Source organism: Homo sapiens, chromosome 17 (assembly GCF_000001405.40).
Source record: "Homo sapiens chromosome 17, GRCh38.p14 Primary Assembly".
In the NCBI taxonomy this organism is placed as follows: domain Eukaryota; kingdom Metazoa; phylum Chordata; class Mammalia; order Primates; family Hominidae; genus Homo; species Homo sapiens.
In genome coordinates, this window is record NC_000017.11 from 40,051,318 (window position 1) to 40,074,164 (window position 22,847).

Genomic DNA, 22,847 nt, shown 5'->3' on the forward strand with positions numbered 1-22,847 from the left:
AAAAATAAGGCTGGGCGGCCGGGCACAGTGGCTCACGCCTGTAAACCCAGCACTTTGGGAGGCCGAGGCGGAAGGATCACGAGGTCAAGAGATCAAGACCATACTGGCCAACATGGTGAAACCCCATCTCTACTAAAAATACAAAAATTAGCTGGGCATAGTGGCACACGCCTGTAGTCCCAGCTACTCAGGAGGCTGAGGCACGAGAATCACTTAAACCTGGGAGGCAGAGGTTGCAGTAAGCCAAGATCACGCCACTGCACTCTAGCCTAGTGACAGAGCGAAACTCTGCCTCAATCAATCAATCAATCAATAAAAAATAAGGCTGGGCGTGGTGGCTCATGCCTGCAATCCCAGCACTTTGGGAGGCCGAGGTGGGTGGATCACCTGAAGTCAGGAGTTCGAGACCAGCCTGGCCAAAATGGTAAAACCTCATCTCTACTAAAAATACAAAAATTAGCCGGGTGTGGTGGCAGACGCCTGTAATCCTAGCTACTCAGGAGGCTGAGGCAGGAGAATCACTTGAACCCAGGAGGCAGAGGTTGCAGTGAGCCGAGATCAAGCCATTGCACTGCAGCCTGGGCAACAGGAGCGAAATCCCATCTCAATAAATAAACAAACAAACAGGCTTTGTGTTAGATGATTTTTCCCAACTGTAAGCTAGTGTGTTCTGAGCACATTTACGGTAGGTAGATGGCCAGGCACGGTGGCTCACACCTGTAATCCTAGCACTTTGGGAGGCCAAGGCGGGCGGATCACAAGGTCAGGAGTTCAAGACCAGCCTGGCCAATATAGTGAAACCCTGTCTCTACTAAAAATACAAAAATTAGCCAGGCGTGATGGCAGGCACCTGTAGTCCCAGCTACTCGGGAGGCTGAGGTAGGAGAATCGCTTGAACCCGGGAAACGGAGGTTGCAGTGAGCCGAGGTCACGCCACTGCACTCCAGCCTGGGCGATAGAGCAAGACTCTGACTCAAAAAAAGGTAGGTAGATGACCTTTGGCAAGTTATGTGTATTAAGTACATTTTCAACTTATGAGTGGTATATCAGCACATCACCCCATTGTAAGTTGAGGAGCATCTGTACTCTATCCTAACCTTTATCATAAACCCATCTAGTGACTGCTTATTTACATGTCTATATTACCCACTAAATTTTCTGTGTACTGACATCGGGTTTTGTTCACAGCTATATTCCCCAGGGGCTAAGCACTGTCTGGCACATAAAAGCATTCATGAGTATTTGTTGATAGAATAGGTGAATGTAATCCTCTTTTTTTCTTTTGCTTGTTGTTGTTTTTAATAGACGGAGTGTTGTTCTGTTGCCCAGGCTGGAGTGCAGTGGCACAATCAGTGCTCACTGTAGCCTCAAACTCCTGGGCTCAAGCAAGCCTCCTACCTCCACCTTCTGAGTAGGTGGGGCCACAGGCCTGTGCTACCTGCTACCACTCCCAGCAGAATAAGTGAATGTAATATTCATCACAACAAATGAAGTATTATTTTTATGAGAACACTGAAACTCACTGAAATGATCTGTTCAAACAGATCAATCTAGAATCTTACTCTTTCATCTAGAAAGAGTAAGCTGACAATTGTACAACTGCACCCCAAATTGTGTTTGTTTGTTTCTTTCCTGAGACAGGGTCTCACTCTGTTGCTCTGGCTGGAGGGCAGTGGCAGGATCATGGCTCATTGCAGTCTCGACCTCCCAGGGCTCAGGTGATCCTCCCACCTCAGCCTTCCAAGTAGCTGGGACTACAGGGGCACCACCACGCAGGGGTAACTCTTTGTATTTTTGGGTAGAGACTGGGTTTTGCCATGTTACGCAGGCTGGTCTTGAACTCCTGGGCTCAAGCAATCCGCCTGCCTCAGCCTCCCACAATGCTGGGATTACAGCCATGAACCACCGGGGCCCAAATGCACTCCAAGTTTTTTACCCCCAGAACTCTCACTTCTTGGTGGGGGTTTGCGGGAAGCTTACCTGGGAACTAATGGCATACTTCAGGTAGGACAAGATGAGAGGATTGGGGGATGGTCCAATCATGGCCTGCTCTAGTAACGCATCTGCAAGAGGAATAGCAAAACACAACTGAGTGATTACAACTTCTCTGGGTTTATCCCTCCCATCTTTCTTTCCCAGTTCACTTGAGACCTGCCAGGTTGAGAATATCCCAGGTGGCTCCTTTAGGAAAGAATTTCTTCATGTTGATTGCCCATTGGTAGTCACTCCAGCGCTCCTTCCAGGCTTGCAAAATGGCTTGCTTCAGGTTGACCACCTTCATTATTTCACTCTGAGCAGGTGGCAGCGGTGGCGGCCAGCTTTGAGGTGAAAGAAATGGAGCTAAAGAAAAGGACATGAGGTTCTAAGGAGAACCGGGGAAGGCAGAATTAAATAGAAAGGAGAAGATGCGGGAAGATTTAAGCGAGACAGAGGAATTTGAAAGAAAAAGAGCTAAAGGGATAAAGTAAGATCCTGTCAGACTCTCTCCTCCTGAACCGCCCTTCCTTAAACTGGGGCACTAAGAAAGTATCGGCCGAGCGCAGTGGCTCGCACCTGTAATCCCAGCACTTCGGGAGGCAGAGGCGGGCGAATCACCGGAGGTCAGGAGTTCGAGACTAGCCTGACCAACATGGAGAAACCTCGTCTCCACTAAAAATACAAAATTAGCCGGGCTTGGTGGTGCATGCCTGTAATCCCAGCTACTCGGGAGGCTGAGGCAGTAGAATCGCTTGAACCCGGGAGGCGGAGGTTGTTGGGGTGAGCCGAGATCGCACCATTGCACTCCAGCCTGGGCAACAAGAGCAAAACTCCGTCTCTCAAATAAATGAATAAAGAAGTATCAAAGGGACTAATAGATTAAACAGGGCATCAAGGAGTTAAGGCAGTCCTGGTTGCCTAATTACGCCCTTAGCTCTAAAAGCGTCCCTTGGCCACCACCATTCCAAGTCCAGATTTGCTCCCTCATTTCCTCCACCTTCTCCAGCCCTGTAACTATACCTCCCAATTTCCTTTTCATCCACCACCTCCCCAAATTTAAGCCTACCGCACAATCCAGTTCTAGGTGGTAGGCATCGCCATTTTGGCACTTGTCAAGAAGCTCACTTTCTATTGGCTGGGAGTAACAAACGCCAACCAATAGAAATGCAGCAAGGAACGCCCCGCTGTCTTCTGGGAATGGTAGTTCCTTGGACTGAAACCGTATTTGTCTGCGCCGGCGAGGAAACTAAGGGACTCGTCTAGTCGGCCCGCATTGTTCTTCTCCTTTAAGGGAGGACATCCAGGAGCTGAGGCACTACAGAGACTCAGGGACTCGAGGGAGCTCGAAAGGCCGCTCACAACCCGGCGTCGCCCACGACGTCACTGTCGACCGGGCTTCTCCATCATATTCCGACACCCTTTCATTCGTTAGCCCCTAGTTAGTAGGTGCGGCAAGGGTGTGGCGTGGGGGCAAGGGTGTGGCGTTCAGCAATAAGGTCTTTCTCCTTTCCTGGGCTCTTTCTGTTCTCCTAAGCCCCTGGAGCTACCAGAGCTATTCTCATTTCCACAACTATATTCTAAAAGCGACACCGAGGTGCCTTAGTTGCACACATATCACCGTCCCCGAATCTTACAGTCCTATCAGAATCTCCAGGCCCTCCATACAGCTTGGATACAAGGGAAAGTAAAGAGGAAACTAAGGTGAAGGTGATCAAAATCAAAGGAATTCTGAGAAACTGTCACAACTAAGAGGGCTAAGGAGACCTGATGACTAAATGTAATGTGGTTTTCTGAATGCGATCATGGAAGAGAAAAAGAATACTGGGTAAAAACTAAGGAAATCTAAATAAAGGGTGGACTTTAATTAATAATAATGTATCAATATTAGTTCATTAGTTGTTACAAATGCATAATACTAATGCTAAGATGTTAATAAAAAGAGAAATTGGGTGCAGAATATGTGGGGACCCTCTATTACCTTCCATTTTTTTCCTGTAAATTAAAAACTTGTTTTTTTAAGTTTCTTGTTGTTGTTGTTGTTGTTGTTGTTTAAATCTTGCTTATCCCAAAGATCCATATATAAATTATGCCCAGGGCTTTGGCCATAGCCTTTCCTTCCCCCAGTGAGAAACCCGAAAGCAAATGTTACCCACCTCTGGAGGCTCCAATGTCTGAGCCTTCTTATGCATAGCCCTCATCCCTCCCCATGCTATGGACTGGTCATCCCTAACATTTACAACCAGGAATAAGAGTAAATTACTCGGGAGGCTGAGAAAGGAGGATCACTTGAGCTCGGGAGTTCAAATCCAGCCTGGGCAACATAATGAGACTCTCAGCTCTACCAAAATACATAAATAAATAAACATGGAGGCCTTTAGCCAGGGCCCAATATCCTAGTTCACAAGTTCAAGCTCAATCTGTATTCCTCAACAAAGATTCTTTTTTTTTTTTTTTTTGAGATGGAGGCTTGCTCTGTTGCCCAGGCTGGAGTGCAATGGCGCAGTCTCAGCTCACTGCAACCTCTGCCTCCCAGGTTTAAGCAATTCTCCTGCCTCAGCCTCCCAAGTAGCTGGGATTACAGGCGTGTGCCACCACATCCGACTAATTTTTGTATTTTTAGTAGAGACAGGGTTTCGCCATGTCGGCCAGGGTGGTCTCAAAATCCTGACCTCAGCCACCCACCTTGGCCTCCCAGAGTGCTAGGACTGTAGGCATGAGCCACCGTGCCTAGCCTCCAACAACCATTCTTTGCTCACCCTTTGAGTGGCAAAATCAGTCCTCGGGAGGATAAATCTGGGAGAGCAGCCCACTTAAGGCTCTGGAAGCAAAACTGTGGCCATTTGGGCAGAGAATTACAGCGCCCTGGGTGTCTGGAGAATGGTCTAAACAGGGAGTCAAGAACTTCTGTTCCAAAGGGGAGAGTGTGGCTGAAGGAGGGTCAGATCATGTCCTCCTGCGGTTGGTACTGCCTATGGCCTTTCTTCCTCCCCATACATTCAATCCACACCCCTCTCTTAGGCTCCCTTTGTGCCTGCCCAAGTGACACCATTGGGGAATAGTGTGTATACAAAACAGCTGCCAAATATATGTTGCCAAAGCTTCTAAAGCAGGAAGGAGGGAAATACGGATTCCTCACCTCACCTTCCAGATGACCCCCGGCCACTCCACTCATACTTGAGACTGCCACAAACCCTGCTTCTCCTCAGTCTCTCACATATCTGACTTCCCCTGTTCTCCCAGGCCCCTCACTCTACCTTTGCCTGCTCCCCTGCTGTCATTCTGTGCCTGTAGCCACAGCCTAAGGCCCTCCACCTGGAGCCATTCCTGGATCATCCTGGAGCCCCTGTCGCATACCTCAGAGCCCAAACTGCCTCTCTTGGAGAGAAGCTGTCAACTGTGTGTCCGGTCCACACAGGACTGGGGACTATTTGGGCCCTGAGGATGGTGATATTTTGAGCTCAAACCATTCCCTCTGGCAGGGAGCCTGGCAGATTTCTAGGGAGGTGCCTCCTCCCCACTTCGCAGTGACAGGGAGGCGGCTTTTGTAGTCAGGCCATCTGCCTTCTCTGTCTCCCCACCTCCCACCAGCAGCCCTTTCTCTAGGCTTGGCAAGGTTTCCCCAAAGGCTGGACTCCTATGTACAAAGGCTCCCTTAGCTCTGGGCAAGGACCATTTTTAGTTTATCCACTTTGACCTCCCTGCCTCTCTAGTCTGTAAACATCAGAGGCAGCCTTTCCTATATCACCTCTTCCTTCCACACCACAATATCTTCCTAGGGACCCCCTTGGGCTCTCTGGCTCACTGCAAGCACAGGACCGGGACCCCATGATAATCCTCCAAAGGGTGAAGAGAGATGCTAACATTTCCTTTGGGTGTACAAAAAAACAGCCCCCCAACCGGGCGCGGTGGCTCACACCTCTAATCCCTGCACTTTGGGAAGCCAAGGCAGGCAGATCACCTGGGGTTAGGAGTTCGAGACCAGCCTGACCAACATGGAGAAACCCCATCTCTACTAAAAAACAAAATTAGCCGGGCATGGTGGCGCATGCCTGTAATCCCAGCTGCTCGGGAGATGGAGGTAGGAGAATTGCTTGAACCCAGGAGGCGAAGGTTGCGGTAAGCTGAGATTGCACCATTGCACTCCAGCCTGGGCAACAAGAGCGAAACTTCGTCTCAAAAAAAAAAAAAAAAGCCCTCCAGCCCATCTCAAAGCCCCGTCCTACTTACCCCACTTTCTTTTGCTGTTCATTTCCTCTCAACAGGGACAGGGGCCGAACTCCCATCTCTGCCCTCCTAGTCCTGAGCCCCAACCTCTTTCTTCATCTTGTTGCCTACCTTGGCTAGAGAGAGAAGAGGGGAAGGTGGAAGTCAACCAGTCAGAGTGATATGGCAACCCTGGAGAAGTGTCAGAAAAGCAGCTAGGCCAGAGTGGGGTAAGAGGTGGCAAGGAACAGGGTTCTGGGTACCCAAAGGGAAGGGAACATTCCTTATCTATCTAGGCTAGAAAACAGTATAAAGAAAAGTGGCAAGAGTCCAGACCCAAAAACCCAGAAACACTGAAATCGTTGGTAAAGCATACAAGGCACAGAGGGTGTCAGCTTCCCTTCTCTCCATAGGGAAACTGAGTCATTCCTTTTCCCTAAGTGGAACATTTTCCTCTGGAAGCTTGCCTGGGTCCCCCCACTATGGGCAGCAGGTGGATGGGAAAAGAAAGACAGTCACTCCCAAACACTTATACACAGCTGGCTCCAAACCAGTCTCCTCCTCATACCAGTCACCAAATCAAAATCCCTGCTTTCTGTCTATCTGGGGGAGGGAATGATGGGAAAGAGGTCTGCAAGGTGGCTGCACCTCAGGGACTCAGGGACTACCCCTGGATCCCCCACAGTTGCCTGTCTCTGTCTTCCCACTGCCCCAGGAGAGTGAAAGGCAGAATTTGAATCAACTCTTGGAATAGCTTCCCCTCTAACACCCTGGAGGATGCCTTCCCTCTCCATACTCCCAGCACAAAGAGAAGTGCTGTGATCCTGAGGCCGACAGTGGCTGGGAAGGGAGGGCAGCCTGCCATTTCCTTTGTATGGCCCCTCCCTCCAGGCCCTGAGAGCTGCTCTGCTTTATACTTTTGGCTTCCATATCATACTACCCTATCCCCTCCTTTAACTGGAGTGGGAGAACTGCGGAAAGGTAAGCCCCAAACTCTGATGGTAAAGGAGACTTCCCTGCTCCCCCTCCTCTCCTCTCTCCTGCTGGCAAAGATAGGATGAGAAGACTCTAAGGGAAAGTGAAACCAGAAGCTGGGAGCATTTGGGGAATCTAATACTTGGCACATATTAAATGCTTAAAAAAAAAAAGTGTCAGGCTGGGTGCGGTGGCTCACGCCTGTAATTCCAGCACTTTGGGAGGCCGAGGCAGGCGGATCATGAGGTCAGGAGATCGAGACCATCCTGGTTAACACAGTGAAAGCCCGTCTCTACTAAAAATACAAAAATTAGCCAGGCATTGTGGTGGGTGCCTGTAGTCCCCGCTACTCGGGAGGCTTAGGCAGGAGAATGGTGTTAACCCGGGAGGCAAGCTTTCAGTGAGCCAAGATCACACCACTGCACTCCAGCCTGGGTGACAGAGCAAGACTCCATCAGGAAAAAACAAACAAACAAAAAAAAAAAACAGTGTCAGATTAATGAATAAAATTAGGAGAAACCCTGAAAGACAGCCTGGAAAAGGTGTCAGCTTCCTTTTCCATTTCTCACCTCAGCTACCAAAAGCAAGACTCAGCCAGGCCTGGTCCCTTCCCTGGCTCCCTCTTTTGTGACCCATAGCAATAGCGCCTGATGGGACAAAGGGGAGAATTAAGTGGCCACTTTCTCTTACCAGGTAATTGCTAATTTGCCAGTCTCTCATCTCCTGCATCAGCCTCCCAAGTAGCCAGAACTGAAGGTCTGCACCACAACACCCAGATAATTTGTGGGTTTTTGTTTTTGGTTTTTTTTTTTTTTGAGATGGAGGTCTCACTATGTTGCCCAGGATGGTCTTGAACTCATGACCTGAAGAGATCCTCCCACCTCAGCCTCCCAAAATACTGGTGATGTCAGTCAGCCACCTTGCCCAGCCTGCTCTCCAACTTTCTTTCCTCCATTTGCACCACTCTTTCTGATTGGGAAACCCCTAGGAGGGAGAAACATCTGAGCTTTGAGTTCTCTTGGCTGGTAGTACCTCAGTTTCCTCTGCTGTCTTTCCAGAGCACCCCCAATAAGTTCAGCTCTGTCTGCAGAGTCTAGAGGTATATGCTGGACATGTCATCACTTGCTGACCTAGGGTCCAAGAGGTCAAGATGAGATAGAGGAAGGGATTTACTGAGGCCCAGGCCACAGAGCTTGTTCCATGGTGGCTGGTAGAGGGGCCTATCTCCTGTTTCCCCAAACTGCTAGAGATGTGTAAGGCTTTTGAGCAGGGGTAGAGGATGCTGTGTGGAGTTTTAGCTGCCAGACTTTGAAAAAAACCTCTTCAGAAAGATATCTGGATACCTTGGTTCCTAGGGGTCGTATCCTCAAGAAATCTTAGGGTGCTTCCTAGCAACAGTCTGGAAGGAAGGGAGGGAGAGATGGAGGGAGAGAGGGAGGGGCCTAGGCATGGCTGTTCTGATGGGAGCCCAGAGAACAGGCTGTTCCTGCTACCTCCTTAGCAACGGAAATCTCAGCTGGAGGGGCCATCAGACATATCCTCTTGGAGGGTCTATCCAGCCTTATTCATGCCACCCCTACCCTCCTCATAGATTCGGGGAATGCTCTGAAGCAGAGGTGGGGAATGGGAGGGGACAGCCCTGGTGGTGGTGGGGGGTTTCATGACAAGGACGGAAAAGGAGCTGAGGATGAACTCAATCTGAGAAGAGCTAGCAGCTTCAAGAAATGGGTGGGCAGGGTGAGTGGGGTGGGAGGACAGATGAGGCAACACAGGGACAGTGGCTATACGCCCAGACACGGGCTGGATCCTGGCACCTGGGGAGAGGCCTGCTTTGAAAGCAGTGTGCCCTTCACTTTGCCCTGCCCAGACCTGTCACCAGTCCATACTGGGAGCCCAAGAAAAAGAGAGAGGTAAAAAGAAGATGGGGGTGGCCGGGGACGGTGGTTCATGCCTGTAATCCCAGCACTTTGGGAGGCCAAGGCAGGAGGAGCACTTGAGGCCAGGAGTTCAAGACTAGCCTGGCCAACATGGTGAAACCCCTTCTCTACCAAAAAAACAAAACAAAACAAAGCAAAAAAACAAAAATTAGCTGGGCATGCTAGCACATGCCTACAATCCCCGCTACTTGGGAGGCTAGGACATGAAAATCCCTTGAACCCAGGAGACGGAGGTTGCAGTGAGCCAAGATTGTGCCACTGCACTCCAGCCTGGGCAAAAGAGCAAGACCCTGTCTCAAATAATAATAATAATAATAAATTTTAAGAAGGAGAAGATGGGACTGGTAAACCCTTGTCTTTGAGTGCTCCACTCTGCCCCTCAGGAAAAAAAAAAAGTGGAACAGGAGGCACTTCATTTTCTATGGCTCTGGGTTTAGGATTTCAGAAAGTCGTCACCACCCAACATTATAGGGCCTTGCATCAAAGAGAGATATGGTGGGGAAAGCCAGAATGGAAGAGAGACAAAACCGTAGCACCTTCCTCCTCCCCCTCTGGACACCATCACTCCTGCCCTGATCCAGATTACCGCTGGCCCTCCCCACTGCCTCCTAGTTCTGCCTTTGTGATGCAGAGTATAAATGTATCTCATGCATTGGGATTCCCTCCCAGCTCCTTGAGCAGCCCAATCCCAAGGGACTAGTTCCATACAGGGTAGAGTACAGACCCTGAGCACTACATACTGCAGCCTTGCTCCCCAGGGTTCCGGCCAAACCTGATCACCGAGGAGGTGGCATCGACTGGCAGACAGCCACCCTCAGTGCACCTCATTCCACTCACTGCACTGACTCTGCACACTGCAGCCTCCTGCCCCACACTGCAGCTGTTGCTTGTCTCCTGTGAGCCCAGACTGAACACAGGTTCGCTTACTGCATGGAGGCTCCGTACGCTGCAGCCTCAATTCCCCATTACAGCTGCCACTGCACACCACAGGCTCCCTTCACCCATGGCATGCCCTCAACACCACCACTGCACTCTGCACGCCATAGGTTTCATCCCAGCTGCTCTTCTCATCTCCATGGTTCCAGGGACCCCAAGAGAGGTACCCTCCCCTCCGCCAAGCATTACGAACTCCAGTACCCCCTGTGAAAGAAGTGGTTCCAACAGCACTGAGGATGCAGGTGGCTGAGACTAAGACATGAGCAAGGGCAGCCCAACTTGGGTAAGCTGTGGCTCAGAATCCCACACTCGCCAAGTGACTCTGCCCAGTATAAACTGGGCGATTAGCCGAGCAGCTCCCCCTAACACACACACACTTACACACACACACACTCACACACACACCCCTCCCCAAGAGCAGACTATGTAGCCAGGGCCCCACCCTGAGAGCCGTGGGAAGGCTGTGGCCCCCGCTGGTAAAACTGGGCTAATGACAGCAGGGGAACCGGCGGGGCCAGGGGGGTGCTGGGGTAATTAGGGCTCGGCCTGGCGCTAGGAGATCCTGAGATGAAAGGTGCTCTGGCGTCACTGGGTTGGTTTTATGTCCATGAATGCAGGTGTGTGGTGTGTGTATGTGTGTGCTGGGGGTGGGGCTGGCATGGTGGAGACCTCTCCTTTGGGTTGGGTTAGGGGGTCCATTTGTATGCAGCCCACCGTCTTCCTTAGATTGACTCTGGTACCATTTGGATTTTTGTGGGAGCAAACATGGGGGGAAATACCACCACCCGGGAGCTAGGAATTGAGGGGGTATGGCAGATCTTGTCCCCTCCCCGAGCTCAGGAGAGGGAGCAGATTGTTGGGGGAAATGGCTGGTGACAGAGAATAGAAAGAGCCTATATGGAGAAGGGTGACGTTGGAAAAGGGAGGCAGTGGATCGGTATTGATGTTAGAAATGAGAGGGGAGGGAGGTAACAGGGAATGAACCCCCACAAGGATGAAAAACGTAAGATGATTGAAGTTAAAAGGACATCAGGGGTCACCTGCCCAGCCCTCGCAGCTGAAGCTTGAGGAAGCTCTGCCCCCGACAGCAGTGGCGATTTGTCAAGGTCACACAGTGAGTTACCGGCGGAGAAGGGACCCGAACTCCCAAACAAACTACACCTGCAAGCGTTTGGTGTTTAGACTTTCTCCCCGATGTATAAGGTGCAGGCTGCTCGTCGATACTTCCTCCTCCACCCTCACGGTGCACACCCGAAAACCCCCCAATTCTCCCGGCAAGCAAAGGCTATTTTTTAATGACATCTTTTCCAAAATATGTCACCAAGTACCCACTCCTGCGGGAGCCGCCCGGGCTGGGGAGGGCGAGTCCGAGCGGGGCGGGGCAGAGGCGGCCGAGGGGCGGCCGGACCTCTGGCGGGGGTCCCGGGGCGCGGCAGGGGGCGGGGGGCGGGGGCGGGCGGCGGCGAGGCGGCCTGCAGGGAGCAGCCGCGAGCCGGCCGGGCGCGCCGAGCCCGAGCCCCAGCCGGAGCGGGGCGGGGGAGGGAGGAGCCAGAGCGGCCGCCGCCTCTGCCGGAGGAGCCGCGGGGCCGCCACACTCGCCCCCCGCCCCCCCCGCGCTCACTCGCACTCACACCCGGGCGCAGGAGGCGGGCGGCCCGGGCCCCACCGGCCCCCCATGGACGCCCCCAGCACGGGGCGCTGAGACCCCCGCGTCGCTGCCCAGCCCGGTCCGGCGCGCCACGCCGAGGTAAGGAGGAGGGAGCGAGGGGGCATTAATATGCAAATGCCTTGCGATTGATTATGCAAAGCCGCGGGGCTCCGTGGCCAGCTCCCAGGCGGGCTAGGGGCGCCCAGGGGGTGCCTGCTGCCAGCCTCAGCCTTTCCTGGCGCCCCAGTGACCCTGTCACGAGCCCGGGAGCTTGCAACTGACGCCCTGGGGAAGGGAGGTGTTGCTAGGAGGTCGCTGGGCCCCGGGGTTCGCAGGCGGAGATGGCGTCCGAGCCTCCCCCTGGAGGGCCCGCCCGGCCTCTGTCCGGCCAGTCTGCTGCGCATTCCCGGGCCGGGCCCCGTTGCCGGCCGCCGGAGCTCCCCCGCCCGCCGCGCCGCGGTTTGTTTACGGTGCGCCGGAGGCCTGCCCCCCCAGCCCCCACCCCTAGCCTCTGAGGCCCGAGTGGCCTTTGCAAAGCTGCCTCCAGCTGCGGAGGGCAGTATGAGTGCGGTGGCGCGGGTGGGCTTGCACGGGTCCGGGGAGAGGGAAGTTCCCCCGCCTCACCCGCCTCCCGGTTGAGCATGGCTGTCTGGTTGCAACACTGCTAATTGCAAAAACGCGGTTGTTGGGGGGGAATGTGTGTGTGGAAGGGGTGTACTTGGTGGTGCCTAGATGATTAGGAGAGTTGCTGGCTGGGGAGGAGAGGGAGAAATGGACCTGTGTGTGTGTACCCCACCTTGTTTCCCTCCCCTTGCAACGTGTCTCTGGTGCCCCTTCTCCATCTGGGGCCCTCCCTTGTCCAGCGTGAAAGAAAGGCCTGGGGGGATGACAGGGGCAATTGAAAGAACCACCGTTCCAGGGGTGGGGGTGGGGGACACAGAAGGAAAGCCAGTGAGGTGGGAGCCTGCCCCTCAGTGCTGGCTTTGGCTCCAGGAGGGGGAGGGGATGAAGGGGGCTGTTGTCCAAAATGAGGGGGGAAGCAAAAGTGACACGCAGACACAGAGATATGTCCACACAGACAGCCACATGCACATCCAGGGACACCCAGGCAGACTCAAGGACAGGAGCTACTGGACACACCCACATGGGGACAAGGGAAGAGACAGGCTGCTGCTGCACCGTGGAGCTCTGAGGGGTGGGATATACCCATGGGAGACCAAGAGCATGGGGACCGATCCATGCACATACCCACGCACAGGGTCACACGTAGATGCTGTCACACACTGGGGCAAGGAGGAGTTGCTGTCACCCACACATAAAAAGTCACTGTCACATGCATGCATGCACACAGAGCAATTGCACACAGCAGCACAATTACAAAAGACCCTGTCACTCACAGGCACACACGTGCTCGCATGAGCCCAGTCACACAGACATCATTGCTTGCCGTGACAGTCGCTGTCACTCAGTCAGATGCAAACACAGTTACACACCAACACATGTATACACAACTTAGCAACAAGTATTTTCCTGGACTCTTTACTGTGGAGCTCTGAGGTTCTGTAGGCAACAAAACCCTTGCTCCCAAGAATATTAAATTTGGCTGTATGAAAAAGTGTTCCTGCGTAATGGTGTAAAGCATGCATTCCCAATGACATGTTCTTGGTCTCTATCGCTTGAGATACCACCCTACTAGACAGTGAGCTCTTGGAGACCTGGGAGAATCACTTAAAGAGCTCTGGATCCCACGCAGAGCCTAGCACAAGGGCTGCTCTGTAAATACTTGTTAGTTGATTGACTGTGGAACCTGCAGACACAGGTGCACTCATTTGCACATGGTCCCCTGAACTCAGGTGCAGAATGAGTTCACAAGGCCCAGGTCCCCACAGTTGCAGGTCCACACCAACAGTCGTGTCCACACAACCCCAGATACACACAACTGCAGCCTGTGCAGCCGAGCACACACTTAGATGCACACAATCACAAATTTTTCCCCTTCAGCTTCCTCCTCCCCTTTTTCCTCTAGGCTCAGCCACTGTGCGGGAATGGGCTGTTTTTTTTTTCTTTCTTTCTTTTAGAGGGACAGAGAAACAAGAGCAAAGACAGTGGGTTCAGGGGGGTTCCAGAGGGCCGAGTCATGGGCTCAAAGCAGTGTCCAGTGACTTCTAGAAGCTAGGATTCTCTTGACTGTTGGGGAAGGGGAGAGCTGCTCTCCTCCCTACCCTAAAAGCTCAGGGGTGTCTAACTGCCCCTGCTCTGAGTCATTTGCCTGGGTCTTTCCTGGGAACAGTCAGTCACTTCCAGCTGAGTTCCTGCGCCCCACCTTGAGTCTGGCCCTTTTTCCCACCTGTACCCTCCTGTCCAAACTTGGAAGCTTTCCTTAAGAGGCCATCGGCTGGCGAGTGTCTGTGTGAGTGATATGTACTTTTGACTTGGAATTTCTCTCTAACTCTGTCTCTCTGTTGCTCTGTCTTGCAGTGTCTGATTCTCCCTCTCTCTCTCCTTGTTTCTCTGCCAGTCTGTAACTCTCTCTCACCCTGTTGCTACCCCCGATCTACCCCTGTCCTTGTCTCAGAGCTGGGGACTGGCAGCAATGTTCTTCATACTTTTCCAGTTGTTAATACCCAAGCTCCGCCCCTCTGCCCCCCCTGCGCAGCCTCTGGGGTCAGCTTGAGGTTGGGGTGGGGGGCGGGGGGCTCAGCTGGCTGCTCAGGACTTCCTGCACTTCCTTAGTGCCGCAGCTGTGGCCAGCAAGTTTTAGGGGCTGGGAATGGGGGAAGGGGGGGGGGGTCAGCCACTGCCCATGCTGACCCCTCGGGCCTGCATGTCTGGAGACACCAGTTCTGTGGGCACCCTCAGGGTGCAGGCTGCAGCCAGCTAGCAGCTCTTAAACAAGCCATGAAGAGGCTCCCCCCACACTGGCCCAAGCTGGAAAAGAACCGCCCCCATGGGCAGTGGCGGGAGCTGGCAGGACCCTGCTGAGTTGGGTCCACTGCAGGGCTCACAATGGCCTTTCTCCACACCCCTGGCAGCTGAGGCCCACCTCAGAGATGCCCAACAGCTGTGTCCTTTTTGCCCAGCCTCAGGGCCTGGTTCTGAGGGCACAGCTGCCTAGACTAAGTATGTACTAAGCGAGGCCCTCCCACCCGTGAGTGCAGGTTCCAGCCTAGAAGGGGTACCTCTTCTGGAGAGGGAATTTGAGGAGGGGGAACTCAGGCAGGAGACATCGAGCCCGGGGGCACCAAGCACTTCTCGCTATGCTCCCCTCTAGCCTTGGACTATTTGGAGGTGGAGGCACTTGGCAGAGAACCCACAGGGCAGCTACAGAGGGGAAAGACTGAGGCTTGGTCTCAGGGAACACATAGCTGGATGAAAGAACAAGGCATTGGGCCGGGCACAGTGGCTCACACCCGTAATCCTAGCACACTGGGAGGCGGAGGCAGGCAGATCACCTGAGGTCAGGAGTTCAAGACCAGTCTGACCAAGATGGTGAAACCCCATCTCTACTAAAAATACAAAACTTAGCTGGGTGTGGTGGCGGGGTCCTGTAATCCCAGCTACTCAGGAGGCTGAGGCAGGAGAATCGCTTGAACCCAGGAGGTGGAGGTTGCAGTGAGCTGAGATTGTACCACTGCACTACAGACTGGGTGACAGAGCGAGACTCCGTCTCAAAAAAAAAAAAAAAAAAAAAGAAAAACAAAAAAGAACAAGGCATTATCTATCAAGCAGGTGATATACCATCACAGCTAAGAACAGAGATGATGGTGATGATCATGACGGCCATGATTGACCTGGACTGCCTAGGTCTGAATCCCAGCTCTGTCACTTGCTGGATGTGTGACTTTGAGCAAGCGATTTAACTTCCCCGTTGCCTCATCTGTAAATTGGGGATGATCATATCTACCTCATTTAGCTTTTTTGAGGAAAAATGTTTTTAAAAGTGCCTAGTTCATAACAAACTGTATATGTGAGCGGTTGTGATGGGTGAAGGAAGCTGTGGGCCTGGGGTCTCCCAGATTTCTTAGAGAAGCTTCGTGGAGAATTGGGTCTCCTAGACATCAGTGAGACTGGGGCCTGGGGCAGTGGGTCTCCAATTTCCAGCCTTCTCACCGTCATGTAATCTTTTCCTCCCAGACAAATTTTTGCAGCCTGGAATGAGTGTATGGGAAAGAGCCCAAGGCAGGCCCCTCTGCCCCACCCTCCTTTGACCCTCGCCCTTCAGCTTACAAGGAGCCCTTGGCCCCTCAGCCTGGGACACACCCCACCAGCTAGGGGCACCTGCATAAATCTTTGGGCATCACTGCATCTCTGTTCAGGGTCTGAGCTCTGGGGGTGGGAGAGAGAGAACAAGGAAAGCCGTCCCCTCTCTTATGTGTGGGCTCAAAGAGGAGGCAGTGCCCTTCCTCCCTCCTGGGAGCCCAGCATTGGTCAACCAGGACCCAGCTCTGGCTGATAGGCACCAGATTCCCCTGCCCTCCATGGAGTGGTACTTAGTGTGAAAGGTGGTGGCAGAGAGAAACTGAAGCACTGAGTAATGACCAGTGTGGTGGGCACAGCACTTTGAGATCCAGCATCTGTCCTGGGTTGCCTCTTTGCCTTTGTGAGTCTGGTGATCAGGATCCCCTCTCCAAACCCCTTTTATTTAGCCCTGCCCCTCAAGGTGAAGGAAGGACAATGGGAGGATACCCTGTAGGGGTGACGGGAAGCCTTTGGAGTGGGAACCAATCTCAACTCTAGTTCTCGGCTGGGCACAGTGGCTCATGCCTGTAATCTCAATATTTTGGGAGGCCAAGGCGGGAGGATCACTTGAGGCCAGTAGTTCATGATCAGCCTGGTCAACATAGTGAGACCCCATCTCTAAAAACAACTTTAAAAAGTTAGCCAGGTGTGGTGGCGCATGCCTGTGTTACCAGCTACTTGGGAGGCTGAGGCCGGAGGATCGCTTAAGCCTGGAAGGTCGAGGCTGCGGTGAGCTGTGATTGTGCCACTGCACTCTAGCCTGAACAACAGAGTGAGACCCCCCACACACACATCCTCTCAAAACAGACAGAAAACAAAACAAAAAACCCAACTCTAGTTCTCATGGCTGCAAAGGTGTCTAGGGGACTTTGGAGAACTGTTGTGTCTCTTGGGGAGGGAGGCAAGCATGACCGTGGTGGGAAGATCACTGGCTGGGAGTTGGGAGGCCTGGCTGTTGACATTCACTAGTCGTATGACTTTGGGCCTGGGTTTTCATTATCTAGAGACAATGGTTCCTGTCTCACTCAGGTTGAGGGCAAATAACACAAGGTGGGATGACCCCTGTGTTCAATCCATGTTGCATCCTGGCATGGTGAGCAATGCCTGTGGATTCTCCTTTTTTCCCAGGGCCTGGCACATGCCAGGGTGGGGCATACACATGCTGCCTGGAACCAGAGACAGTTCTCAGTCTCTCACTGAAGTATCTGGGGCTGGTGTGTGGTGGGGGCACATGTGGTTCCACCTTGGTGTCACTTGGCAGGCCAAAGCTGGGGTCATAGGGACCTCCCTCCGGTATGCCATTGCGTGAGGTGGTCCAGAGGGAGGGTCAGAAGTTTGCTGGGTAGACAAGGGAAGCAAGATGGGTGTTACTGGTGCCCAGGAAATACTATCCTTGCTTCGCTGTTTTGGGGGTGGGCATTAAAGGTTGATACCAAAGCCTCAGCCATGCCCCTCAGCAGTGGCCAAGAGCAGAATGATTGGACCAAGCCCCTGGCCCACCTCCTCCTCCTCCTCTTTTCCTCTTCTAAAGAAGAGATCGGCTCTTGGCTCCCAGAGCCCCAGCTGCCTGTTTCTTTTTCTCTTTTACCAGGCATGGGGGTGGGGAAACAGGGGAACCGAGGCTTTGGTGTCTTTCGGCATTTTTGTACACATCAGTGAGTGGGTGTGTTGTGCACGCATCCATGTGAGAGTGTTTTTGTGCATGTGTGGGCTGGGGAGGGCTCTGAATATCTCCTGGAACGGTACCCAGAGCCCTGTGGCTCTGCGCATGCGGGGTGAGTGTGTGTGTCTGCACGTGTCCGTGTGTGTGCCGGAGACTCAGCTGCATTCACGCGCGCGCTCTCTCCCTCCCTCTCTCCCTCCCTCTCTCTCTCCCTCCCTCCCTTCCTCTTCCCTCTCCCTCTCTCTCTCCCCCTCCCCCTCTCTGTCTCTCCCTCCTTCTCTCCCTCCCTCTCTCTCTCTCACACACACACTCTCAATCTTTCTCTCTTCCCTCCCCCTTCCTCCCTCCTTCCTATTCCCTCCCTCCTCCCTTTCTGTCCCTGTCTCTCTGTCTCTGTCTCTGTCTCTCTCTCTCTGCCTCTGCCAGTTCTGCTTGGTTAGGGGCTAGCTCCAGCCTCTGGGGTGCCTGGGAGAACATCCCTCCCTTTCTTTCCCCCTCCACCATTCCCTCCCCTCCTAGGCCATGCTCTTCAGGGCTTGCAGGCAACTTCTTCTACTGCCTTAGATGAGGGAGTGAGGAGGGAGGACCCCAAGCCTTGTGCCCATGGTGCCATCTGCAGCAAGTGCCTTGGCCCCGTGACATTCATGCCTCCAGCATTCAGCTGCCCCAGCTCCCAGCTCCAATTACCCGCTGGCTGCTGGGGGAGGGTGGGGAGAATGTGCCGTGCCCAGCTTGGGGGTGCTCCTGCTTCTGCTTTCTTGGCTACTTGGATCTCCTGCCTCCATTCCTGAGGGGAATTGGGCAGGGGGGGCGTGAAGTTCTGTGGGCTGATAAGGAGGGGCTGAGTTCTCCAGCATGGGTGTGGGCATGACCACCCACCAGTGGTCATGGGGGATGGATGTGACCTGGGAGGAGACCTCCAGACCTGGGCACCCACCTTGATGCCTGGCTGGAGCTGGCCCGGGCAGGAGGAGGGAGAGGAGAGCAGCAGGTGGGTGAGGCTATGGGGGAGCCGAGTGGGAAGCAGTCTTTGATGTTAATACTGGGCATCTGGCCCAAGTCAAGGCTGCTGTTTATGTCTTTCTGTCTCTGACCTGCAGGGGGGGTTTCCTGTTATATTCTTTTGGGGCGGGGTGGGGAGGATCCTTTGTTTAAGTAACCAATCTCCCCCTTATGAGGATCCCCACCCCATCTCCCATTCTCTAGCCTCTAAGGTCCCACAGTGGCTAGGTGATGAGTCACTGCCCCCCAGCTCCAGAACCTGTCTCCTGGGGGCCCAGTGAGAGCTCACCAAGGGGTGCCGCCTCCCCTCCTCCCGTCTCCCCCATGCCTGCCAGGCTGGGGCCCTGAGTCTGTGTGTACTCCTCTGCCACATCACACCTGCCAAATAGTACCTTCCTTCCCGCCTTCACTCCTCCTCTCCTTCCTGGCACTAGGATAACAGAGAGTTGGGTGGGGCAGCCCTGCTCAATCCATACCTGAGAATAGAACAGGGGGTATGGGAAAGGACAGGGAGTCCCGGTCCTAGAGAGGCCTCTGCCCCTCAGCATGGGGGCACATGTCGCTGCTGCAGCACTGCCACCACCACAGACTCCCAGGGGCCCTTGGTGTGGGTGGCTGCCTGTGGTGCCCGTGTTGGCATGGGGGGCAGTGCTGCCCATAGACGCCTGTGCCCATGCATGCCCATTTATGTGTCTGGGCCACGGTGGCCGCCCCGGCCCCTCAGCATCGCCCTTCCTGGCTCCCATGGTGGGAGGCTGGGTGATCAGGAGTGGGTGGTGGGGGAGGGATCTCCCCCCACCCTAGCAGCAGGCAGAGGGGAAGGGGAGAGGGAGGTGTGAACCTACCCACAGAACTATTAATAGCCCACATGCCAGGCCACCAAGAACCAGCTGTCACCGTGGAAACCATTCCTACGCCCCCCTCCCCCCAGCCTGCATGGGGTGGGACTTAGACAGGGTACGAAGCCCCCCACCCATCTTTCTTTGTTACCTTTCTCTCTTTGTCTCCCCTCCTTCATGTGTCTCTCCTCCCTTTATCTGTCCTCCTTTCTACCTCACCCCTTCTCCCCATCCCCCATCTCTGGCTCCCCTTTCTTCCTCTCCCTCTACTGCCTTGTCACCCCTAGCTCTACCCCAGCCCTGTCCCATTTCTTTGTTCTTCCCCCTCCTCCCTTCTTCCCTCTTTCCCCCACCAGCCTTTTTACCCCTCCTCCCATCTTTCCACCCTTTTCTCAGCCGCCCCGCATGTACGTGTCCCTGTGGCTGGCAAGGAGGGCTGGGCTTTCTTCAGAGCACTAAGGACAAAGTTCAGGGGCCCCAGAAAGGTGGGGCCAAAGCCCAGAGCAGATACGCAGGAGGGTTAATGCGGGTAGTATTGGGGGTTAGATCCTGGGGACAGAAACTCCCCTCTGGCAGCCCCAGGAGTCCTTTGGGGGTGTCCTCAGATATACAGGACTGCAGAGTGGGACGGCTCGGCAGTGGGAACCTGGCGGGGCGCCCGTGGATGCCGCATTGGCCCCGTGTCCCTGTCCCCCCATGGCAGAAGTACTTAAGCTTAATGAAATGCTTCCCCCTCCACGGGCACTTTGCCTACACTGCCTCCCAGCAGCTCTTATCTCACAAGGAGGGAGTGGGTGGCCAGGCCAGCCGACAGGTGGGTCTTGCTGTCCTGCTGTCCAGCCTGGGCACAGAACCCCATAGCTCCGCCCCCTCGGCCTCCTTGGGGCAGGGCCTCCCTCGCCTCTGCAGAGGAGGTACCAGGAAGGAGTTTGGGGAGTTAAGCTGGACTCTGGAGGAGGGGTGAGAGGCTGCCCTTCAGGGTGGGTACCCCTGCCCCATGCCCCTTACCCGCTGACCTTTTTCTGTCCGTGGCTAACACAGGCTCATGTGGTATGTGTCTCCCCACATGCTGGGCCCTCTGCCTCGCCTCTGTATCACCCCAAAGGCCCAAGTGTGTCCCTGGAGAGATGCCAAGGAGTCCCCAGGGGTTCCAGCCTCTTTCTGGGTACCCAGTGAGGGTGCCCTAGGCAGCAAGGGCAGCACCTTGCTCCTCTGCCCACTACCAGGGGCTGACTGTAGCTGGGCTGCACTGCCCAGCACCAGGGCACCATTCAGTTCAAAAGAGGGGTGGGGCAGAGAGCGAGTCTGCCCCTCCCCCCAGTGGGCACGTGCAGGCCCTTGGCAGTACCCAGACACATTTGGAGTTAAGGCTGGGCAGGAGAGAGGGATGGGGAAATAAACATGGTGGCTTAGGTTGGCACTGCTCCAGGTCTGCAATGTAGCAACTGGTAAGTGGCAGGGGCCTGGGGGAGGGGACCCTCAGGAGCCCTGGCCTGGGGCAGGAGCTGCCCATGCCATGTGGCTGCCACTGGTGTTCCCCGCCTGGCCCGGCCCACAGCAGCCAGTGCTCATTCCTGCACACACTGGTCCTCCTCGGCTGCCCCCAGGACCTGCTCCCCGGGGCTGCCCCTCTCTCAGCATGCCCACTCCTGTGCTTGCCTCCTCCCCTCCCTGGGGGCGCTTGGGCCTCCGGCTGGCGAGTGGATTTTTCCAGCTTCTGTAAACAAGTGGTGGCAGTGTGCCAGGCGGGCAGGAGACAGGCGGGGGCAGCACCACAGCCAGGGTGTGCCAAGCACCGAGGCACAGCCTGGGGGGCAGACGGAGACACCCAGACCCGGAGAGAGAGACATTCAGACACAGACAGACAGACAGACATGCAGGCAGCCTCGCTGGACGTGGAGTCAGAAGATCGTCCTCTATTGTCCAGCCCAACCCCCGTAGCGGCCCTCGCCCCCTGCCCCTCACTGTCTGGCTGAGAGCATTAGGCCCCAGTGCCCAGCCCCTGGGCTTCCCCACCCACTCCTTCTCCTCCCCAACCTCCACCCCTTAGGGCTGGCTACGCCATTATAAATTTATAACAGGAATTTCTCCACAAGCCAAGAAAAACTTGACCTACTTTCTTGATGGCTCCCTGGGCTAAGGCTCCCTGCTCATGCCCCCCCACCCCAGTCTCCTGTCCAGCCCCCAGTGCCCAGTCCTGGTCTGGGGTGGGTATCAGAGGTAGAACGGGCCACTTTTCTGTGCAATGCCCATGCTCTCCACACTACCAGCTTGCCTGGGTGCAGAGGCCCCGTTCTGCTGCTGGCCCTGCCCAATCCCCTGACTTATCTCCCTCTCTCTTCCCACCCTGGCTGCTTATCAGCTCCTGGGGGTGGGGCCAGGGGGCCTAGGGGTGAGGTCTCCTATGCAGCAGCCACGTGACAGAGGTTGAGGTCGTATGTTGGGGAGCTGTACCCTTTGTCCCCCTCCTACCCGCCACACCTGCCTGTGTGCACACAGACAGTAAGCCACAGGTCTGCAGCCCAGGGTCAGAGGTGCAATGCCGTAGGAATGGTGGGCCCGGCTTGGCACTGCCCTGGACTCCAGGTAGCAGAACAAGGCTAGCATTAGGGCCAGGCTGTGAGGCTTATCCCACAGCCACCTGCTTACTAGTTGTGTGAACTTGAGTGAATGACCAAGCTTTCTGAGACTCAGTTTCCTCATCTGTGAAGTTCTCGTGCCCTCTTTGGAGGGTACAGATTCTCTCTCCAGTTAATATGTGTTAGTTTCCTTTCCTTTCCCCCTTGCCATCCTGGTCGATAGCAGCTCAGCTAAACCAACTGAGAAGTCTGGTCCTCTGCCTGGGAAGTGGGATTCGAGACCTTGCGTGGGAAGCTCTGGAGTCCCTGAGGGGCCAGAGTTGGGGATCATAACTTGGCTGGCAGCATGGGAGGTCAGTTCCCTACAGCTTTCAACATCTCTCTCTATTAAGGCACAAAGATGGGCATTCATGCTCACTGCGTGCCGCTCTATGTCCCATCCTTCCTTCACAGATACCCTCCCTGCCTATGCTGAAAACTGCTTGTCTCTGGTCCCCTCTTGCCCCTATAATACAGATGAGTTTCAGGAAAGCTTTTCTAGAGGGGTGGTAACAATAGCTAGTGTTTAATAGTTGCTCATTAAGGGCCAGGCATTTGTCTGAATATGAAGACTGAGACATATTACTTAGTACATGAATGATCTCATTCTCTCCCTCCATTCCTTCCCATGTCTGGGGCTTAGGAGGTGGATCTCCAATCTCGCCTGCTGTACCTGTTATCTAAGGGATCATCCTGGTCCCCTCTCTATGCCTGCCCTTCCTGCCCCCTGCTGTCTTGTTATGGGATCCCAAAGCCCCAAATGTTGCCACCAAAGGGATCCTACCCACCTTCCTACCGTGACACCTTCTT

General features: G+C 54.4%; 2 protein-coding genes across 10 annotated transcripts in view, besides 8 other annotated features; one reads left to right on the plus strand and one right to left on the minus strand.

Annotated features, from left to right (window-relative positions):
• MED24 (mediator complex subunit 24) overlaps positions 1-3,091 on the minus strand; it is a 35,305-nt gene extending 32,214 nt beyond the window's left edge. For 4 of the 5 annotated variants that reach the window (NR_052017.2, NM_001267797.2, NM_014815.4 and 1 more), the window contains exons 1-3: positions 3,044-3,091; positions 2,152-2,318; positions 1,981-2,063 (exon numbers count right to left, since the gene is read on the minus strand). Coding sequence is in view for 4 of the 5 variants with exons in the window: in NM_001267797.2 (NP_001254726.1) it covers positions 1,981-2,063; positions 2,152-2,281 (213 nt within the window). In the remaining variant the exon portion in view is untranslated. Of the gene's footprint in view, positions 1-1,980; positions 2,064-2,151; positions 2,341-3,043 lie in introns of all 5 variants that reach the window. The other variant, NM_001079518.2, reaches the window with a different exon arrangement.
• Positions 3,291-3,350: an enhancer, noted in NCBI's record as "active region_12122". NCBI's record gives its function as "activates an Ori minimal core promoter by ATAC-STARR-seq in GM12878 lymphoblastoid cells {active_cell/tissue: GM12878}" and the evidence as "EXISTENCE:reporter gene assay evidence [ECO:0000049][PMID:35858748]".
• Positions 9,259-9,846: an enhancer, noted in NCBI's record as "H3K4me1 hESC enhancer chr17:38216829-38217416 (GRCh37/hg19 assembly coordinates)". NCBI's record gives its function as "activates a minimal SCP1, AML or CMV promoter by ChIP-STARR-seq in primed H9 embryonic stem cells {active_cell/tissue: H9 hESC(primed)}" and the evidence as "EXISTENCE:reporter gene assay evidence [ECO:0000049][PMID:30033119]".
• Positions 9,847-10,434: an enhancer, noted in NCBI's record as "H3K4me1 hESC enhancer chr17:38217417-38218004 (GRCh37/hg19 assembly coordinates)". NCBI's record gives its function as "activates a minimal SCP1, AML or CMV promoter by ChIP-STARR-seq in primed H9 embryonic stem cells {active_cell/tissue: H9 hESC(primed)}" and the evidence as "EXISTENCE:reporter gene assay evidence [ECO:0000049][PMID:30033119]".
• Positions 10,435-11,020: an enhancer, noted in NCBI's record as "H3K4me1 hESC enhancer chr17:38218005-38218590 (GRCh37/hg19 assembly coordinates)". NCBI's record gives its function as "activates a minimal SCP1, AML or CMV promoter by ChIP-STARR-seq in naive H9 embryonic stem cells {active_cell/tissue: H9 hESC(naive)}" and the evidence as "EXISTENCE:reporter gene assay evidence [ECO:0000049][PMID:30033119]".
• THRA (thyroid hormone receptor alpha) overlaps positions 10,876-22,847 on the plus strand; it is a 31,675-nt gene continuing 19,703 nt past the window's right edge. For 3 of the 5 annotated variants that reach the window (NM_003250.6, NM_001190918.2, NM_199334.5), the window contains exon 1: positions 11,648-11,775. The gene's annotated coding sequence lies outside the window, so the exon portion shown is untranslated. Of the gene's footprint in view, positions 11,135-11,647; positions 11,776-21,271; positions 22,352-22,847 lie in introns of those variants that run through there. The other 2 variants (NM_001190919.2, XM_047436632.1) reach the window with 2 other exon arrangements.
• Positions 11,471-11,650: a silencer, noted in NCBI's record as "silent region_8471". NCBI's record gives its function as "represses an Ori minimal core promoter by ATAC-STARR-seq in GM12878 lymphoblastoid cells {active_cell/tissue: GM12878}" and the evidence as "EXISTENCE:reporter gene assay evidence [ECO:0000049][PMID:35858748]".
• Positions 11,691-11,850: a silencer, noted in NCBI's record as "silent region_8472". NCBI's record gives its function as "represses an Ori minimal core promoter by ATAC-STARR-seq in GM12878 lymphoblastoid cells {active_cell/tissue: GM12878}" and the evidence as "EXISTENCE:reporter gene assay evidence [ECO:0000049][PMID:35858748]".
• Positions 12,051-12,150: a silencer, noted in NCBI's record as "silent region_8473". NCBI's record gives its function as "represses an Ori minimal core promoter by ATAC-STARR-seq in GM12878 lymphoblastoid cells {active_cell/tissue: GM12878}" and the evidence as "EXISTENCE:reporter gene assay evidence [ECO:0000049][PMID:35858748]".
• Positions 19,581-20,186: an enhancer, noted in NCBI's record as "H3K27ac-H3K4me1 hESC enhancer chr17:38227151-38227756 (GRCh37/hg19 assembly coordinates)". NCBI's record gives its function as "activates a minimal SCP1, AML or CMV promoter by ChIP-STARR-seq in naive H9 embryonic stem cells {active_cell/tissue: H9 hESC(naive)}" and the evidence as "EXISTENCE:reporter gene assay evidence [ECO:0000049][PMID:30033119]".